This window comes from Homo sapiens, chromosome 11 (assembly GCF_000001405.40).
Source record: "Homo sapiens chromosome 11, GRCh38.p14 Primary Assembly".
Taxonomy (NCBI): Eukaryota; Metazoa; Chordata; class Mammalia; order Primates; family Hominidae; genus Homo; species Homo sapiens.
The window spans coordinates 61,098,887-61,119,070 of record NC_000011.10 but is presented as its reverse complement, the minus strand read 5'-3'; the positions used below and the strand labels follow the sequence as shown (position 1 = coordinate 61,119,070).

The following is a 20,184-nucleotide window of genomic DNA, read 5'->3' as shown; positions in this document are numbered from 1 at the left end:
TTCCACCTTTGTCAGAAATTCCAATGTAACTGGGCATCCTGGGTTTTTATTTGCTAGCTCTGACTCCCTGTGGGGGGTTCAGAATCCTCTTACCTGTGGGCTCTGGAGTTGTGGTGGGCGGGGGCCTTGTCGTTGGAGGTGTTGTCTTCTGGGGTTCTGCAATGAGACACTCTGGTGAGGGAGGAATGGGTGGTGTGGGGAGGGCCGGGGGCAGCCAGCAGCCTTGAGAGGACCAGGAGCTCCTGGCATGAGTGCCGCTTGGCACACCAGGTCCACTTGACCCACACGTTGTCTCTAAGCCTCCTGCGAGGCGGGAAGTACCACCCCACTTCACAGATGGGAGAATGGAGGTTCAGAGGCGACGATGAAGTCAGTGATTGGCAGAACTAGGTCCTCCATTGCCATCCTACAGATGGGTGCTGGCCCCTTCCAGTCCCCCTCCTGGGTATGTGTCTTGGGGAGTGGTTATAAACTGGGGTCCCCCCACCCCTTCCACCAGCCTGCTCAGACCCTAGATCACAGGCCTCGGGCAGTCTCCTCGGGGCTGGCGCCCAGGCCCAGGGTGCCCGTGTGGCTGGCTAGTTACCCACCTAAGCAGGTCAGGCCCAGAGAGTGACACATGTCATTTCTGCTGTGGCTGCAGTTGGAGAAGGAGCCCAGTTGTCCGTAGCAGATGATTGAGCTCTGAGGTGTGTAGGTGACAAGGAAGGGGCCAAGGCTTAAGGGCACCCCACAGTTCAGCCGCTGGCAGACTTTTGACGCTTGACTGGGGTCCTCCCACTGCTTGGAGCTCCGGCCCCAGCTCTGGCTGCAAACCATGTGCCATCCGTCCTTGAGGTAGACCTCCAGCTGGCCCTGGCACTTCGAGTTGGAACGGGTGAGCCTTGCCTGGAAATCTGGGGGTCAGAAAGGTGTGGTGGGGGTCAGGCTGGGAGGGGTTCCCCACTGGCACCCCTCACTGCCCTCTCCCTAGGACGCCCAGTTGAGCTCCCTCCTGCCCCGTGGGCTGCCTGCCTTGCCCCTTGTGAGCTTCGTCCCTTCTGGGGCACTGCAGGGGCTTCCCAGAGGACCCTGACCCAGGCAGCCCCGAAGCTAGACCCAGGAGGGTGGGGCTCCAGATTTCAGAGTCAGAAGGGAGCTCAGATAAATGGGCAAGGTGTTCTCGGCACCCACTGTCCAGCAGGATGGCCCCTGTCCTGGAAATTCTGTCTCAAGGGGTCTGAGATTGGGGCTGGTGTCTGCTTTTTAAGAGATCTTTAAAAATTAATTTTAGGCCAGGTGTGGTGGCTCATGCCTGTAATCCCAGCACTTTGGGAAGCTGAGGCGGGCAGATCACCTGAGGTCAGGAGTTTGAGACCAGCCTGGCCAACATGGTGAAACCCCATCTCTACTAAAAAAAGAAAAAATACCAAAAATTAGCTGGGTGTGGTGGCAGGCGCCTGTAATCCTAGCTACTCGGGAGGCTGAGGCAGGAGAATTGCTTGAACCCGGGAGGCAGAGGTTGCAGTGAGCCAAGATCGCGCCACTGCACTCCAGCCTGGGTAACAGATCAAGATTCCATCTCAAAAAAAAAAAATTTTATTGAGGTAATTTTACATACAGTGAAATGCACTCATTTTAAGGATACTGTTCGATGGAATTTGACAAATGTATACATGCATGTAACCACCACCATAATCTAGATATGGAACATTTCCATCATCTAGAAAGTTCCCTAAGGCCCCTTTATAGTTAATTTCCCTGAATCTAGCCTCAGGCAAACACTGATCTGCTTTTTGTCACAAAAGATGAGTTTTGCCTGTGCTACAATGTCATAGACATGGACTCATACAGCATGGATTTTATTTTGTTTGATTTGGCTTTTTTCGCTTAGCATGTATTTGAGATTTAGCTATGTCACTGGACGCATAAGTAGTTCATTCCTTTTTATTGCCGAATGATAGTTCACTACACGGACATGCCAATTTGTTTTCCATTCACCATTTGATTTGTTTCCGGGTTTTGCCTACTATGAATAAGGCTGCTGTGAACATTCACATACAGGTCTTTGTGTGGGCGTTTCCATTTCTCTTGGGTAAATACCTAGGAATGGAATTGCTGGGTCATGGGTAGACATGTGTCTTGTGTGATTTTATCAAACTCCATGAGGGGAAAAATATATGTGTGTGTGTGGTGTGTGTGTCTGTGTGGTGTAGTGTGTGTGGTGTGTGTGATGTGTGTGTGGTGGTGTGTGTGTTGTGTGTGTTGTATGTGTGTGTGGTGTGTGTAGTGTGCAGGTGGTGTGTGTGTGTGGTGGTGCGTGGTGTGTGTGGTGTGTGTGTGGTGTATGTGGTGTGTGTGTGGTGTGTATAGTGTGCATGTGGTGTGTGTGGTGTGTATGTGGTGTGTGTAGTGTGTGTGTGTGGTGTGTGTGGTGTGTGTGGGGTGTGTGTGGTGTGTGTGGTGTGTGTGTGGTATGTGTGTGGTGTGTGGTGTGTAGTGTGCATGTGGTGTGTGTGGTGTGTGTGTGGTGTGTGTGGTGTGTGTGTGTGGTGTGGGGTGTGTGTGTGGTGGTGTGTGTGTGTGGTGTGGTGGTGTGTGTGGGGTGTGTATGTGGTGTGCGGTGTGTGTGTGGTGTTTGTGGTGGTGTGTGTGTGTGGTGTGGTTGTGTGTATGTGTGGTGTGTGTGTGGGGTCTGTGTGGGGTGTGTGTGTGTGTATTTGCATAAAGAGCTCCTTGAAGAATATGCAAGAAACAAATAAACGTAGTCATTACCTGGGGTGTTGGGGTCGACGTCGGGGGCGACTGGGATAGACGGGAATAGAGATGGAAGTGAGACTCTTCACTACAGATCTTTTTATATTTTTTTAAATTTTTGAGCTGGATGAATGTGTCACTGATTCAAGAAATTTTTAGAAATGTGAAAGGCTCTCCCAGGTGATTCTGAGGGGGAGGTTTTCCCTGGTCGGGAACCACGGGTCAGGCTACCCTTTTCTTCCGACGAGGACACTCTGGGGCCAAAGCTCAGGGCCAGGGCTCGCCAAGGGCACTTGGCTGGTTAGAGGGAGAACGAGCGCGTCTCAACACCTAACATTGGTGGGGTGATTTGCAGGCTGTCCGCCCAGCGAGCTGGCTCGTTGCCGCTTCACCAGGCAAGAGATTTTCTTCCCATTTCACAGCTGGGGAAACGGGCTCAAGAGGTCAAGCAGTGTGCCAAAGCTTGGAGCTAGGATGTCAGTGCAGGGCCCAGATCGTGCTTAGGGCCTGCCAAGGCCCCTGTCACCCCCTCTGGCTGCACAGTGGCATCTCAAGACCCTTCAGCCACAATTCTCCCCAGGTACATTCAGCACGATGTTATCCCAGTCAATGTGAAGGAGAGGTCTGTGGTGAAATAAGGGTGCAAAGTGCTGGGTTAAAAAGTGTCATGTATTTCTTCGCTGCAGGATTTCTCAGATCCTTTACTGGGCCGGTGTACACTGTCAGTCTTCAGTGGGAGATGCGGTGTTGCCTGCCCTTTGTCCAACATGCTCCATGGAACCCTATTTGGGAAACAGCCTCTACGACTAAACTCCAACGTCTAAGGCTGGACGTTCCACACACTTTACCATCAGTCTGCGGCCTCTCTCTGCAGACTCCGCTCTAAACATCTTTGACCATGGAGCATCTGTCAGGATTGGGTGGGAAATAAGACTTTGCAAGGTACATTTATGAGCTGGGATGTCTTCTGTGCATGGTGAGCGGGTCATAATAATTATCATGAGATCTGGCATTTGTGGGTGATTTACGGCTGTCGAGGGCACCCACCTGCATGTGAGCATCTTAATGTGCAGTGTCTGCATCTATGTGCCTGTGTGTATGCTGGGGTTCACTCTCTCTATAGGGTGGGGTTCACTCTGGCAGAAGTGATGGCTTCATCGAGAGGTCCCCGATGGCCTGATGAAACCACAGCCCCACTCTCCCCCTGCCCCAGGCCTTTCTCCATGTGGCTCTTCCTTACCTGGGTCATACCAGCTGAGCCGTCCGAGGCAGGAAGCGACTGCAGAAAGAAGAGAGGAGGGTCAGGAAGTGAAACCTCCCACTCTCTCCCTTCTCCCCAGCTCACCCACCCACAGCCCGAGCAATGGCCCTTTCTGCCTCCCCCTATCCACTATCATGGGTTTTAGGGACAGGAATTTTCATACTCCAGGTTGGAACCCCTGAGTGATATGAATTCTATCTAGTGGGCTGCAACTATCGATTTTTTTTCTTCTTAAAAAACGTTACTTTTAAAATGAACAGACGTGAAATTGATTTTTCTTTACTGCATGATTCCGTGAATGTCACATATATAGATGTGTGTGACCACCATCACAATCAAGGTATACACCAGTTCCATTACTCCCTACCTCAAATTCCCTCATGCTAACCTTTGTAATAATGTAACCATCAATTATTATTATTATTACTTTTTGAGACAGGATATCACTCTCCTCACCCAGGCTGGAGTGCAGTGGCATGATCACAGCTCACTGCAGCCTCAACCTCCCTGGCTCAAAGAATCCTCCCACCTCAGCCTCTTGAGTAGCTAGGATTACAGGCATGAGCCACTATGCCTGGCTAATTTTTTTACTATGTATGTGTGTATGTATGTATGTATGCATGTATGTGTGTGTGTATGTAGAGATGGGGTCTCACTATGTTGTCCAGGCTGGTTTTGAACTCCTGGGCTCAAGTGATCCTCGTGCATCAGCTTCCTGAAGTGCTGGGATTCACATGTGTGAGCCACAGCACTCAGGCCATCAATTTTTTTAAAAATGAAATGGAGTAGAATAGAGAGGCCGTGCACGGTGGCTTATGACTGCAATCCCAGCACTTAAGGGGGCCAAGGTGGGAGGACCGCTTGAGCCCAGAAGTTGGACCCTGCAGTGAGCTATGATTATGCCACAGCACTCTAGCTGGGTGACAGAGTAAGACCCTGTTTTTTTTTGTTTGTTTTGTTTTAAATAAATAAAAAAGAGAATGTCAGAATGCACTGATCACTTTTTGTGTGTTGGGGGTTGCAATGTAAAAATGTCCCGCATGTTTCCACTCAAAAAAGTTTGAGCTCCTTAGTTCTAGAGAATGGAGAAATGATCCAGAAAGGGGCCGGGCACGGTGGCCCATGCCTATAATCCAAGCACTTTGGGAGGCCGAGGTGGGGGGATCACTTGAGGTCAGGAGTTTGAGACTGGCCTAGCCAATATGGTGAAACCCTGTCTCTACTAAAAATAACAAAAATTAGCTCGGCGTGGTGATGCATGCCTGTAATCCCAGCTCCTCTGGAGGCTGAGGCAGGAGAATTGCTTGAACCTGGGAGGTGGAGGCTGCAGTGAGCTGAGATTGCACCACTATACTCCAGACTGGGTGAGAGAGTGAGATTCTGTCTTTACAAGAAAAAAAAAAGGAAAGAAAGAAATGAGCAAGAAAGGGAACCAAGAGAACATTTGCTACTTTCTAGCATTCCCAAGGCAGGATAAGAATGACAGCCACTTATCTTTAACAGCTGCCCATTTCTGGAGAAGACCAAGCTCAAAGAGATGGCGTGACCTGCCCACAGTAGTGTAGCCAGCTAGTTGACAAGGGAGCCAAGGCGACAGGCCCAGGGAACACGGGTCTGCAGGGAACCAGCCTTCCCCCATGTGGACCACGTGGAAGCTCTGCCTCCTTGTAGCCTGGTCTCACTGTGGAGTGGGGGCAAAGTTGCCCATTGCGGGGCTCTCAGCAGAGCAGCTCATCTGTGGCTGGGGAAGAGGTTTAATTTGGGTGGGGACGAGGTGAAGTAGCAAGCTCACGTGGCTTCAAAGCTTAACCTCTGTATTCACCACCTAGCGTGATCAGTTAGGTGCAAGTACGGTATTTTGATTTCCATCTGTCCGACTTGGGTTTACTCTTGGATTTACGGCACTGGGTCAAGGAGACTGCTTTATATATTAATAGTGAAAGGCTGTGTTCAAATTGTTTGTGAGAAATTTTTGCTTGGTGTTAAAAAATAGGTGTGTTTAGCTGGGCCAATGGCTCAAGGCCGTAGTCCCAGCTACTCAGCAGGCTGAGGCAGGAAGATCACTTGAGCCAAGGAGTTCGAGTCCAGCCTGGACAACATAGCAAGACCCCGTCTCTTAAAAAATAGGTGTGCTTTGAAAAAGCTGTTCTTGCTTGAGTGTTCTCAAGCTGGCGGTTGAATTTTAAGGGGTGATGTGCTCCACAGTTCATCCTTGTCCCCGAATCAAGACTCTTTGTAATGAAGTCATCATGGCCATGTGATAAGTTTCCCCTGAATCTGCAAGATCCTTTCGTGGCTGTTGCTCTAGGAGTCACGGGCCTTGGAAGGGGAAGGTTATTCTCACCAACAGGGAAGTGTACAGAGCTCTGGCCTGGGTGGAAAAGGATGGTCTAGTTGTCAATCGTCTGATCAATTTTTTCTTTTTTTTTTGAAACAGAGTCTTCCTCTCTTGCCCAGTCTGGAATGCAGTGGCATGATCTTGGCTCACTATAACCACTGCCTCCCTGGTTCAAGCAATTCTCCTGCCTCAACCTCCCGAGTAGCTGGGACTACAGACATGCACCACCACGCCCGACTAATTTTTGTACTTTTAGTAGAGATGAGGTTTCACCATGTTGGCCAGGCTGGTCTTGAACTCCTGACCTCAGGTGATCCACCCCCCTCAGCCTCCCAAAGTGCTGGGATTACAAGCATGAGCCACCGCGCCCAGCCAATCATCTGATCTATTGCAGTGGGCAGGGCAGCCTCAGGAGGCCATCAGGGAGATGTCCAGCTAGCGAGAGAAATCAGGAAGGAGGCCCTTTTGTCCTGCCCTCACCTCTCACTCCTGACCTCTCATTCCCACCTCCCTCTCATCCCAGCTGCCCATCAGGAGCAGGGCAGTCTGCCTTGAAGGAGTCATCCCTCTGGCTAAGTCTCGAGGGCTAAGGCAGCTTGAAGTGCCACCTGTGGGGAGTGGGAGTCCAAATATCTGCCCTTCAGTGCTACACAGCTCAGGATGGGTTTTCAGTCACCGATGACTTTCTACTGCTCCAGTTCTGAGTATCAGCTCTGCCACTTCCTGCCTATAGAGTCTGGGGAGCACGTCTGTCCTGTCTCTGTGCCTCCAAGCCACGATTTCCTCACTCATAGCATGAGGATGAGCATGGGACTAGCTTTCTAGAGCCGTTGTGAAGATGAGATGAGCTAATCGGTGTAAAGGGCTTAGCCCAGTGCTTCCTGGCCTAGTGCTCAGAGCTGGTGCTACTGATCTGTGGAGTAGGGTGGGCTGGGGGAAGCTGTGCCCAGGGCAGCAGACCCTCGGGGAGCTTTCCCAGTGGGAAGATTCCCTGTCCAGGAGCACAGAGAGCCAAGCCATGGGGCTCACCACTTCCTTCTCCTAACTTGGAAACTTCGCGCAGATGGTCCAGACTTAGGGTGGTTCAACTTACGACTTTTCAAGTTTGCAATGGGTTTGTCGGGGTATTAAATGAATTTTTGACTTAGGATGTTTTCAGCTTACAATGGGTTTATTGAGAGGCAACCCCACTGTAGGTCAAGGAGCATCTCTATTTCCCGAGTCATCATACTCAACGTTCATTATTAACAGCAGCTGCCAACTGTTGAGCACCTGCTGCATACTTAGCCCACGGTATGGTTCATCACAGATATTGTTGTTAATCTTCCACACAGCCCCATCACGAGAGTTGAGTACGTTCCTGGTATAAATGTCAGGAGAGGGCAAATGCCCTGTCCCGGGTAATATGGCTGGCAGGTGGAGTCGAACCATGTGTCTGACTCCAAAACCCATGCTCTCTGCTCCCAGCCACCCAATTGCTCCTCCAGAGTGCCAGCTTTGGAGATGCAGAGATGAACACCACCTGGGTCTGACCTGGAAGCGCTCGTGCAGCCAGACCCTGAAGGCCTGGGGACAGGGACTGGGCCTGACAATCTTGGCAGATTCCACACAGAACAGCCTAGGTCTTGCTCAGAGAACATTCTCAGGAAAGACTGAACAAGCTGGAGAACCAAGTGAAATTCTTTAAAAAATGCTCTAACAAATGCTTTAATAAAAAAGATATTTATGCATTCTAGAGTGTCGCCCTGGAACCTTCCTCTGGGTGCCTGTCTGGTCCCCAGATGAGCAGCAGTTCCTCTCCTCTCCTTCCATCTCTATCACCGTCACCATCATCATCACCATCACCGTCACCATCATCATCACCATCACTGTCACCATCACCAACACTTTAAAAGTTTTCACTCTTCCGGGCCTTTTACACATTAACTCTCCCAGTCCTCACCACAGTGCTATGAAGTAGGTGCTATTATTTTGGTCCCGATTTTACAGACCAGGAAACTTGAGAGGGGTTAAATGACTTGTCCAAGCAGCTAATGAGTGCTGGGGCCCGAACTCAAACCTAGCCGCCTGGCACTGAGTCTTGAGCTTTTGCCAGTGAGGCCCAAACTGCCTCCCTTCCCTCCAGCAGGAAGCCCATGATGGCCTGCCCCAGGTTTCATTGATTCCTGCACCACCCTGGTGTGCAATCCTGATCAAAGGGAATGAACTTGTGATTCCGTTCAGTCAGTAAAACATGCAGTGAGAAGACTTAGCTATGAAGTGCTGTGTGACCTTGGCAAGCCACTCAGCCTCTCTGGGCTCAGTTTCTTAATCTGTAAAGTAAGGAAGTTAGATTCCACAGTCCCTCACCTTCCCCCTGGTTCAAACACCTGTGATCTATAATCTTTAGCTCCTGATGGATTTCAGCAGCTGGTGGAGGGAGGGCGGTGAGATGTACAGCTGACTTGGAAGCTTCCTGAGTGTGTTGTGTATATTCTTTCAGCCTGTCCATGAATATGTTCAGGTTTTTTTTTTATTTGCTTGTTTGTTTTTCACTTATAATCTAGGGAGCAGAATGAACATTGAGGTTTTGAGGGTCCATAACCTATTTCTATTTTTTAGTTGCTTCTCACAGGGGTCAGACCAGCACCCTCCATCCCCTGAGCCCTGCGGTCTGTGTTCAGGGTCTCCCTGACCCCCTCTGGGGGCTCTACAGCTTACTCCTGCACCATCCTTCCTAGCCTCATGAAGCCTGAGGCTCCTGCTATTGCCAAAACTGTGGACAGAATCCCCGAGACTCCAGACCAGGAGGCCCCCGAGGCCTGGAAGTGCTATGCCGTTTCCTTATCCGCCAGCCACCCCTCACCCCGAGCAACTGGGGCTACGGATGAGAATTCTCTGAAGACCCCTTCCTTCTCCTGCCCACCTCCCCTTGCAGCTCCCACAATTTAGGGCCTGGACTGGGCAAACCCAGGCAAAATTCAGGGCTAAAGAAGTCAGACGGCTTATCACACCCCTGGAGCTCCCGTCTCTTGTCTTTGCATTGGCAGAGACAATATTTTTGGCCCTGCCTGCCCTGAGGTCTTGGTGAGGATATCCTCCTCCCTGTCCCTCTCATTCCTCTTGCCCCCACAGTATTCAGGATAATTCTCACTTTGGCTCTCATTACGGCATCCCATGAGTTTTATTTGCTCTGCACAGTGTTTAAAAATTTTTTGAGCCAAATTAAAAAAAAAAAGGTTTCTTTTAATTTTGTTTTGCTTTTTAAACACATTTCAAGATCCAGGCGTTTTTGAAAAATAGGACATCCTGGCTCCACTGGCTGCATCTCTGGAGGCCCCAGGCAGTGGCGGTGGCCCTTGACTTCTGTTTCGTCCACGCCTCGCTGGCACCTTACGGTCGCCATGTGTGTGGAGAGACCTGGCTTCAAACACATGGCAGTGTCTGCAGCGAAACATATGCAGTTTCACACTAAGGGGGATGTGTCAAGATTATAAATAGCCTCCCATTCGTTCAGGTCAGGATTTGCACCAAATGCATTTGCCAGAAACTTACAAATGTTTTTTGGGCTTTGGAATTACAGATGAATATTTGTTGACTTGCATGATGGGTCCCAGTTTACAGAGGAGGAGGCTGTCGTGGTGCATGGGAGTGAGAACTCGGCAGGGCCAGAATTCAGCCCAGGGCGGCTGGCTTTGTAACCTGCACTCCTGGCCCCTGCCTCTGGCTCACTCCTAGGTCCTGCCGCCCCTGCACCCTGGGAAATGGAGGCAAGGGTGTGGCCTGCTTAGGGTTTGGCAGGCACCCGGATTCACAGGCCTGTGATAATGACCGATGATAATAAAATGACAGCATCCTTACCCTGTGCAGACCCCAGGACAAGGATTTTTCACAGAAGACCCCATTTCTTTCTAGAGCCTCAGAAGACGGGGTGCTATCACCACTTTGTTCCACAGATAAAACACCTATGACTGATTTAGTGTAGTTTGCAAGTCAGGTGTTCCCTTTTTCCCGTAAACAGTGATTCCTTCTAACAGTCCACAGACCTCCCCATAGCTACAGCCATCGATGTCCATGAAATACAATAGATCTGCCTGTGTTTTGGGTAGGATTCTGGATTTTCCTTCCTCGAATCCTATATGTTGGCTGACTTGAAAGGTCAGAAGCCCCTCTTTTCTGAAACGACAGTCATCTGTAGAGTTGGAGCTGTATCAGGGCTTTAGGGAAACGAAGGTCGTAAAGGACCAAAATTCCCTTTCTTGGGTTGAGCACAGATGAAATGATTGGTTTATGATTAGGCGGCTTTTATGTGCAAAACACATATAGAGTCACACTGGGCTTACACCAGGAGAGGCCTGGGAATGGAGCCCGCAGGAAGGAACAGCAGATTCAGGTCTCTAATCTGGCTCACCCAGGGCCTGTCCCAGTGAGCGGACAGTGGGTCGTGGGCAGAATGACCTTTGCTGTTTGAATTGTTATTTCTCTCTCCCACTAGTAGTCTGCTGTTGCATGAGTTTCGCACCATATACGGTGTCTCTGCTGTCACAGAGACAAGGCTTTGGTTTTGTTTAGAGCTTTACCTACCCCAAAGCTCTCTCATGCACTAGACTTGTTCTTTCTACCCACAGCCCTGTGAAGAAGGGACCATGCTCACCTCCATTTTCAGATCAGGAAACCGAGGTTCAGAGAGGCTGAGTGACTTGCCCAAGGTCACACAGCTAGCTGGTGGTAGAGTCAGGAGAGAAACCCTGTCTCCATCACCTGACAGGGCCTGTGGGAGTCTACCCCAGGGAGGCCCCAGAGCCTGCTTGCTCTGGAGTACAGATGGGGGAAACTGGGGCCAGAAGGAGGGAGGGGTTCATTCCAGATGTCTCTGTGGGAATCTGTGGCAGTGCATGGGACCCTTGTCGTCTCTGCAGACTGCCACCACCCATTTCCTACGCTATTCCTACCGTATCTGTCCCCCGGAGAGGAGTATTAGGGTCCCTCTGGACACCATGAAAGTCAGGCCTTGAAAGGTACATGATGGTGATGATGATGCTGGTCACGGTGATAGTGGTAGCTATAGAAGAAGTGATCCAGGCCCACAGTCTCTTATCTGCAATTCAAAATCCAGAATCTAAAAGTCTTGTTCTAATGCATTTGGTGGGAGGGTGTTTGCTGTCTTTACATCCCTCTAAGTGTGCAAATTCATGTTTCACTGCAGAAATGGGAATGTGTTGAACGCAGGGTGCTGCCCCAGGCCTCACTGCGTGTGTTAAGAGCACACAGTATGTACACAGTATTTCCTTCTACAATCTGAAAGCTTCTGGAGTTCCAAATGCATCTGGCCTGGGGTTCAAGATGCACTTGAGGACCTGGAGAGGTGAGAGTTATGCTCACCTCTCTGCTCCTGTGTGGCTGTCCAGTGCATGGGAGAAAAAGCCCAAGTCCTCACGGGGGCATCCGTGGCCCTCGTGGCTGCCTCATCGATCCCCCACTGACCTGCAGCTGGAGGCCCCTCTGCCTGCAACGCTTCTCCTCAGGTCCCACACGGTGGGCTCACTCCCTTCTTTCAAATATTGACTCAAATATCATCTTCTCATGAGAGCCGCTGAATCCTCCCCAGGTACCTCACACCCCACCAAGGCTTCCGGTCCCAGCCCTCCTCTATCTGTCTGTCTCCACACCTCTCATGACCGTCTAGTATTCGCATAATCACTAGCTTAGCTTGTGTCTTGTTTGTCTCCCCATCACACCCTGACTATTATGCCAGATCCACCAGGGCAGGGATTTTCCACCGTTTTGTTCACTGCTGTGTCCTCAGCACTTAGAACAGCATCTGGCACATAGTAGGTGTTCAATCCATACCTAGTCTCTGAATAAACCCGATGTAATTATTGCAGTGATCTTTTGAGGTGGACACAGCAAGGAACCCCTATTTTTATAGATGAGACCCTGAGAGATGTTCACTTGTGGGTGGCCAAGCAGAAATCAAACTAGGTCTGCATTGCTCCAAAGCTCCCCTCCACAGGGCTGTGCACATATGTGTTCATACGCAAACACAGCACATGGACACACACACACACAGTAGATGTTCAATTTCACACACACACACAGAATAGATGTTCAATCAATTTTGTCAGGTTGAGCTGAATTCGCCGCCTGGTCACTGCAGGGAAAACCCCTCTGAACTGATGGTGACAGAGTGACCCAGGAAGGCCAGGTCCCTTCCTGGGCCCCCAGGTCCCTTCATTCCCTGCTGGAGGTGGGGAGCTCTGGGTCTTCGAGGAGGATGATCCAACCAGGGCCTCGCCCAGCCTGGGACAGTGGGCCTGCTGCCCTGCTCCCAGTAGGAGCCCCACCCTCTCAGGCCTGTCCTTCCCCCTTGCCTTTGCCCTGCCATCCGCTCTGCCTGGGACCCTCTTCCCTTTTTTCTCTGCCTGGCTGGCTCCGTCCCTCATTCAGGTCTCGGATTCTCAGATGAGACCTCGCCTCCTTAGAGAGGCCCTCCCTGCCTGCCCAGCCAAAGGGATGTCCTCCTATCCTAGTGCAGACTGTATTGTGCCTGAGGAACTTGCTGTTCTCCTCATTGCACTCAGTATTTCAAAATGTGTAAATATTTCGGGTGCCTTTTTTTTTTTTTTTTTTTTGAGATGGAGTCTTGCTCTGTTGCCCAGGCTGGAGTGCAATGGCGCGATCTCGGCTCACCGCAACCTCCGCCTCCCAGGTTCAAGCGGTTCTCCTGCCTCAGCCTCCTGAGTAGCTGGCATTACAGGTGCGTGCCACCACTCCCGGCTAATTTTTGTATTTTTAGTAGAGATGAGGTTTCACCATGTTGGCCAGGCTGGTCTTGAACTTCTGACCTCAGGTGATCCACCCGTCTTGGCCTCCCGAAGTGCTGGGATTACAGGCATGAGCCACCATGCCCGGTCTTTGGTGCTTGTTTACTTGTGTTCTCTAACAGCTCTCCTGTTAGCTGATCAAATCCTTGAGGGCAGGGACTCCTGCCTTGGTCCCTGTATCCCCAGTGTTTTGCACAGAGCTGGATGCACAGGAGATGCTCAATAATATTTGTAGATGAAAAATGAATGAATTAGTGAATAAATAGCCTGTGCAAGAGGATTGAGGGGTAGAGAGATTGACGGCTGTGCAGGCCTCTGGCAAGACCCTCCTCCCCATTGGCTCCTACCTCGCATTGTTTCTTGCTGACCCTGGTAATAATAATAATCATAGTTGTTGCTGTTATTATTGTTTATTGAGTACTTACTATACTATATGCCAGGATTGTACTTAAGCTCTGTGTGCATTGATTCATTGAATCCTTATAAGCCTCTATGAGGTACTGTTGCACCCAGTTTACGGATGAGAAAACTGAGGCTTACAGAACTAGTCCAAGGTCGCCCAGTTGGTAAGTGGCAGACTGGAATTCAAACTGCAGAGTCCATGACTTTCCCACGTCCCAGTGCTGGCTTTCAGAGTCGCATCGGCTAGGCCAGTCAGGGACGTGCAGTTTGTGTTAGAGCCGCTTCCCCGCCTCACTGCCAGCAGCTGTCCAGGCAGGCTGGGGCTGAGAGGGGAGCAACTGTGGGAAGCCCTGGCCTGTCACTAGCACCCAGGCCTGCTGGGGGCATCTTCATGCCTCAGGATCCAAAGGTCCCCAAGCCCCGATGCCAGCCAGGAGGCTGTGGTGTCCCCAGGGCTCTGGCATTGCTGCCTCTCTCCTTGGAATGGCTCAAAGGGTGCCTGCACTGTTTGACTCCAGCAACCCTGGCCCTTGGTGTCCCCAGCTCTGGTGGCTGTATCTCTGCTGGTGGAGGTTGTGTCCCAGGGCCATTTTCCTGCACACGGAAGTGCCTTTGGTGGCCTTCCCTTTTAGCTAAGGGAGGGGCCTCTGTGAAGGCAGGAATGCTGGGCTGGGGTCAGCTCGGCTGTGCACCAGCTGCTGCACCCTGGGTTTGCACTCGGCCTTCCTGGGCCTCGCTTTTCCCCACTGTAAAATGGGGCCAATGGGCCCACCTACTTCATTGGCTGTTGTGAAGCTTGCAGCAGAAAATGGCTTTAAAAGTGCTTTGTAAACCGTTACCCACTGAACAAAGGGAATGCTTGGTACCCACCGGCTCACTCAGACACTGGGAACTGAGTATTCCTGGGGTTCAAGGAGGTCCCCATACTGGGGTGAAGGGGCTACCTCCAAGTCTTCCTGACTGTGGCCTGTGTTGGGCCAGGGGACTTGCCTGGTGCCATCAGGAGCCTCACCCATGATGGGATTCAGTTGGGAGGGCCCTAGAGCAGGACACGGGTTCCCATACTCAGCTGGGAGCCGCCCTATCTCAATGAAGTCTGAGGCCAGAGGTGAGGAGCAGGTGGGGGGTTTAAGGGCCTGGTCCCTCCTTAGCAGGGTCCCTGAAGCCAGCCAGAGGTCTGTCTCAGGCCTCTTACTTTGGGACAGAAGGCATTTTGTACCTGTTGTTGTTACATGTGAGAAGAACCATGTGAACATGTGTGCACAGGTGCCATTGTCACATGTGTTGGGGAGATAATCCTGCCTTTGGAGGCCGCATTGTGCTCATGAAAGCACACACACACAGTTCTCACACACATGCGCACAGACTCCCACACACAGACTCACACACAGACTCACACACAGACTCACACATTCCCCCCACACAGTACTCACACACATGCCCAGAGACTCACACACAGACTCACACACAGACTCACACATTCCCCCATACACAGTTCTCACACACATGAACACAGACTCACACACAGACTCACACGCACAGACTCACACTTTCCCCCCCACAAAATACTCACACACATGCCCAGAGACTCACACACAGAGTCACACATTCCCCCCCCACACACAGTACTCACACACATGCCCAGAGACTCACACACAGACTCACACACAGACTCACACATTCCCCCCCACACAGTACTCACACACATGCCCAGAGACTCACACACAGACTCACACATTCCCCCCCAGACAGTACTCACACACATGCCCAGAGACTCACACACAGACTCACACACAGACTCACACATTCCCCTACACACAGTACTCACACACATGCCCAGAGACTCACACACAGACTCACACACAGAGTCACACATTACCCCCCAACACAGTTCTCACACACGTACACACAGACTCACACAGACACACATAGACTCACACATTCCCCCACACACAGTTCTCACACACATGCACACAGACACACACACATGCATTCCCCCACACTCACACCTGCACACCCGGTTTCCCTAGAAGGCTGCTGAGGCTCCCTGCTCAGGCAGGCAAGGCCTCCGGACCCTCTCCCTGCCAGCCTGGAAGCTGCTCGCATCCTCCTGTTTCCAGCCCAGAGTCACGCACCTCTGTCACCCTGCCAGACCTTCTAAATCCTCAGGAAGTGGGTCAGGCCTCATCCAGTTCACACCCCCAACCCCCACATTTCATAAATGGGGAGATCAAGGCCTGGAGAGGCTTGGGGACCTATCCGAGGTCACACAGGGTTGGGCTTACAACCCAGGGCTGGAGTGAGAGCAGGCCCAGCGTGTACTCATCCCAGCCGGCCTGGCTGGGCCCCTCTGGGACTGACCCAGGACTGGGCATGAGAGGGCCTAGGACTTCCGCTATGAGTCCTTGACATTTGCTCAGACATCGTCCTCAGAGGCGGCTCCACCCTGCCTCGGCCCACTGTCTGTCCAGAGCATCATCAGAGCTGCCTCGGAGACGGCGAGTTTCCATGTCTCTGGAGGCGACCAAGTAAAGGCTGGGCTGTCAGTGGGGGACCTCGCAGAGGGAGGCCTGAATGCTCTGCTAAAATCCAACTCAGCCTAGGAATCAAGTTGTCTGGGCCCCATCAAATGCGGGTCCCCCCTGCAGTCTCTCTTGCACTGGAAGGGTAAAGCAGGGTTCTCAACAGCGCATGAGAGAGGCAAGGTTGTGCTCCTGGCGGGTGGGACATGCAGGACAGAGGGCCAAGCTGCGGCTTAGTGGGGGCAGGCAGGGATCCCAGTGGCCCCAAATCTCCACAACGCTCCAGAGGGCTGACATGTGGATCCCAGAGTCAGCCTTGGGTAAAACTGGGAACTCCTTCCTTGCACTGGAGCGAGCCCGGGTGTTCGCAGGACACCTGGGAGGGGTACTCACCCAGCATCCCCAGCAGGTACAAGGTGGCCAGCGGTTGCAGAGACCCCATGGGCATGGTTTCTGGCCTTCTCTTGCCTCAGCCTGGGCAGCTGGGCACCGCAGGTGAGGGTGTCTGGCCGGGTATCTCGCTCTCAGAGAGGGAGAGGGCGGGGTGGCGTGCTCAGGGAGGGGTGGGACGGGGAGCAGGCAGTGTGGGGCCTGCGTCACCCATGTTTGAAGTTGAACTGTCAACTTCCTCCTGGCAAAACCACCTGCCCCTGTTTGAATGGCAGCCCTGGCCTCTGCCAGCTTCCTGCCCAAGGTACCCAGGGCTGGGGCAGTGCTCTCGGCCACCCCCACACAGGACAAGGCCATGCATCCTGGAGGGACAGGGCTGCAGGGGGTGGGGACCCTGAGCGGGGGTTACGGAGGCTGAAGGCCTGGCTGCAGCTGAGGGCTGGGCTGAGGACAGGCGTCCCTGAGGCAGGGGTCTGGGTGGGGAGAGGCGGGAAATGGGCAGCATGATGCCAGTTCTTGTTGCAGACTCCAGTGAAAGCCAAAACCAAACCCTCCATTCCCCCTTTGTGAGGGATGAGGTTGGAAGTTTGAGCTGACTTTCCACAGGTGGTGTTTTGCTAGCAAGTACAAGAGATGGCTGCGCCATGAATGCTGGGCTTGTGCCAGTGTGTGTGTGTGTGTGTGTGTGTGTGTGTGTGTGTGTGTGTAGAGAGAGAGAGATCTCCATGTTGACTTGTGTGATCTCTGTGTTGTGTGTGTCATCTCTGTGTTGTGTGATCTCCATGTTGAGGTGTATGTGTGAGCTCCATGTTGAGTGTGTGTGATCTCCATGTTGATGTGTGTGTGAACTCCATGTTGATGTGTGTGTAATCTCCATGTTGACGTGTGTGATTTCTGTGTTGTGTGTGATCTCCATGTTGATGTGTGTGATTGTGATCGCCATGTTGATGTGTGTGTGATCTCCATGTTGATGTGTGTGTGTGATCTCCATGTTGATATGTGTGTGTGATTTCCATGTTGTGTGTTTGTGATTTCCATGTTGATGTGTGTGTATGATCTCCATGTTGACTTGTGTGATCTCTGTGTTGTGTGTGTGATCTCCATGTTGGGGTTGATGTGTGTGTAATCCCCATTTGATATATGTGTGTGTGATCTCCATGTTTGTGTGTGTGAATGTGATCTCCATGTTGATGTGTGTGAATGTGATCTCCATGTTGACGTGTGTGTGTGATCTCCATGTTGATGTGTGTGTGTGATCTCCATGTTGATGTGTGTGAATGTGATCTCCATGTTGATGTGTGTGTAATCTCCATGTTGATGTGTGTGTGTGATCTCCATGTTGATGTGTGTTTGTGATCTCCATGTTGATGTGTGTGAATGTGATCTCCATGTTGATGTGTGTGTGATCTCCATGTTGATGTGTGTGTGTGATCTCCATGTGGATGAGTGTGTGATCTCCATGTTGATGTGTGTGTAATCTCCATGTTGATGTGTGTGTGTGATCTCCATGTTGTGTGTGTGTGATCTCCATGTTGATGTGTGCGAATGTGATCTCCATGTTGATGTGTGTGTAATCTCCATGTTGATGTGTGTGTGTGATCTCCATGTTGATGTGTGTGTGTGATCTCCATGTTGATGTGTGTGAATGTGATCTCCATGTTGATGTGTGTGTAATCTCCATGTTGATGTGTGTGTGTGATCTCCATGTTGATGTGTGTGTGATCTCCATGTTGATGTGTGTGTGATCTCCATGTTGATGTGTGTGAATGTGATCTCCATGTTGATGTGTGTGTAATCTCCATGTTGATGTGTGTGTGTGATCTCCATGTTGATGTGTGTTTGTGATCTCCATGTTGATGTGTGTGAATGTGATCTCCATGTTGATGTGTGTGTGTGATCTCCATGTTGATGTGTGTTTGTGATCTCCATGTTGATGTGTGTGAATGTGATCTCCATGTTGATGTGTGTGTAATCTCCATGTTGATGTGTGTGTGTGATCTCCATGTTGTGTGTGTGATCTCCATGTTGATGTGTGTGTGATCTCCATGTTGATGTGTGTGTGTGATCTCCATGTTTATGTGTGTGAATGTGATCTCCATGTTGATATGTGTGAATGTGATCTCCATGTTGTGTGTGTAATCTCCATGTTGATGTGTGTGTGTAATCTCCATGTTGTGTGTGTGTGATCTCCATGTTGATGTGTGTGAATGTGATCTCCATGTTGATGTGTGTGTGTGATCTCCATGTTGATGTGTGTGAGTGATCTCCATGTTGATGTGTGTGTGTGATCTCCATGTCGTGTGTGTGTGATCTCCATGTTGATGTATGTGTGATCTCCATGTTGATGTGTGTGTGATCTCCATGTTGATGTGTGTGTGTGATCTCCATGTTGTGTGTGTGTGATCTCCATGTTGATGTGTGTGTGATCTCCATGTTGATGTGTGTGTGTAATCTCCATGTTGTGTGTGTGTGATCTCCATGTTGATGTGTGTGAATGTGATCTCCATGTTGATGTGTGTGTGATCTCCATGTTGATGTGTGTGAGTGATCTCCATGTTGATGTGTGTGTGTGATCTCCATGTCGTGTGTGTGTGATCTCCATGTTGATGTGTGTGTGTGATCTCCATGTTGATGTGTGTGAATGTGATCTCCATGTTGACGAGTGTGTGTGATCTCCATGTTGATGTGTGTGTGATCTCCATGTTGATGTGTGTGTGATCTCCATGTTGATGTGTGTGTATGATCTCCATGTTGACATGTGTGATCTCTGTGCTGTGTGTGTGATCTCCATGTTGGGGTTGATGTGTGTGTAATCCCCATTTGATATATGTGTGTGTGATCTCCATGTTTGTGTTGTGAATGTGATCTCCATGTAGATGTGTGTGAATGTGATCTCCATGTTGATGTGTGTGTAATCTCCATGTTGATGTGTGAATTTGATCTCCATGTTGATGTGTGTTTGTGATCTCCATGTTGATGTGTGTGAATGTGATCTCCATGTTGATGTGTGTGAATGTGATCTCCATGTTGATATGTGTGAATCTCCATGTTGATGTGTGTGTGTGATCTCCATGTTGATGTGTGCGAATGTGATCTCCATGTTGATGTGTGTGTGTGATCTCCATGTTGATGTGTGTGTGATCTCCATGTTGATGTATGTGTAATCTCCATGTTGATGTGTGTGTGTGATCTCCATGTTGATGTGTGTGATTTCCATGTTGATGTGTGTGTGTGATTTCCATGTTGATGTGTGTGTGTGATCTCCATGTTGACTTGTGTGATCTCTGTGTTGTGGGTGTGATCTCCATGTTGGGGTGTATGTATGAGCTCCACGTTGATGTGTGTAATCCCCATTCGATATGTGTGTGTGATTTCCATGTTGATGTGTGTGATCTCCGTGTTGAGGTGTGTGATCTCCATGTTGATGTGGGGTATGTATGTGAGCTCCGTGTCCCTGTTGCTCTTAGAGGGTCTGGAATCATCCCCCTTGAAGAAGAGGCAGGGTCTCTGCAAAGAAGATGGGAAGCCCGGGGCAGGGGAAAGTCCCTGTGTTTCCCTGGGCTGGGCTGGGTTCCGTTTTTTCCTCACATCCTTTGTGCTCCCAGATGAGAAAGCTCCTGGCTCCTTGGGCTTCCTGTACTCTGGGCCACCCCAGGCAGGTAGGAAGTAGTTCAAGGACGTGATCACTGGTCCAGGTCCACTAGGGCCTGGGGCCTCCCCATCCCTGGGCTG

The 20,184-nt window shown here is 50.8% G+C and overlaps 1 protein-coding gene across 2 annotated transcripts in view; it reads right to left on the bottom strand.

Annotated features, from left to right (window-relative positions):
- CD5 (CD5 molecule) overlaps positions 1-20,184 on the bottom strand; it is a 33,890-nt gene that overhangs the window by 8,782 nt on the left and 4,924 nt on the right. Inside the window, exons 1-4 of one of the 2 annotated variants that reach the window (NM_014207.4) lie at positions 16,456-16,582; positions 3,977-4,015; positions 591-896; positions 94-156 (exon numbers count right to left, since the gene is read on the bottom strand). In NM_014207.4, coding sequence (NP_055022.2) covers positions 94-156; positions 591-896; positions 3,977-4,015; positions 16,456-16,510 — 463 coding nt within the window. In that variant the 5' untranslated portion in view covers positions 16,511-16,582. Of the gene's footprint in view, positions 1-93; positions 157-590; positions 897-3,976; positions 4,016-16,455; positions 16,583-20,184 lie in introns of those variants that run through there. The other variant, NM_001346456.2, reaches the window with a different exon arrangement.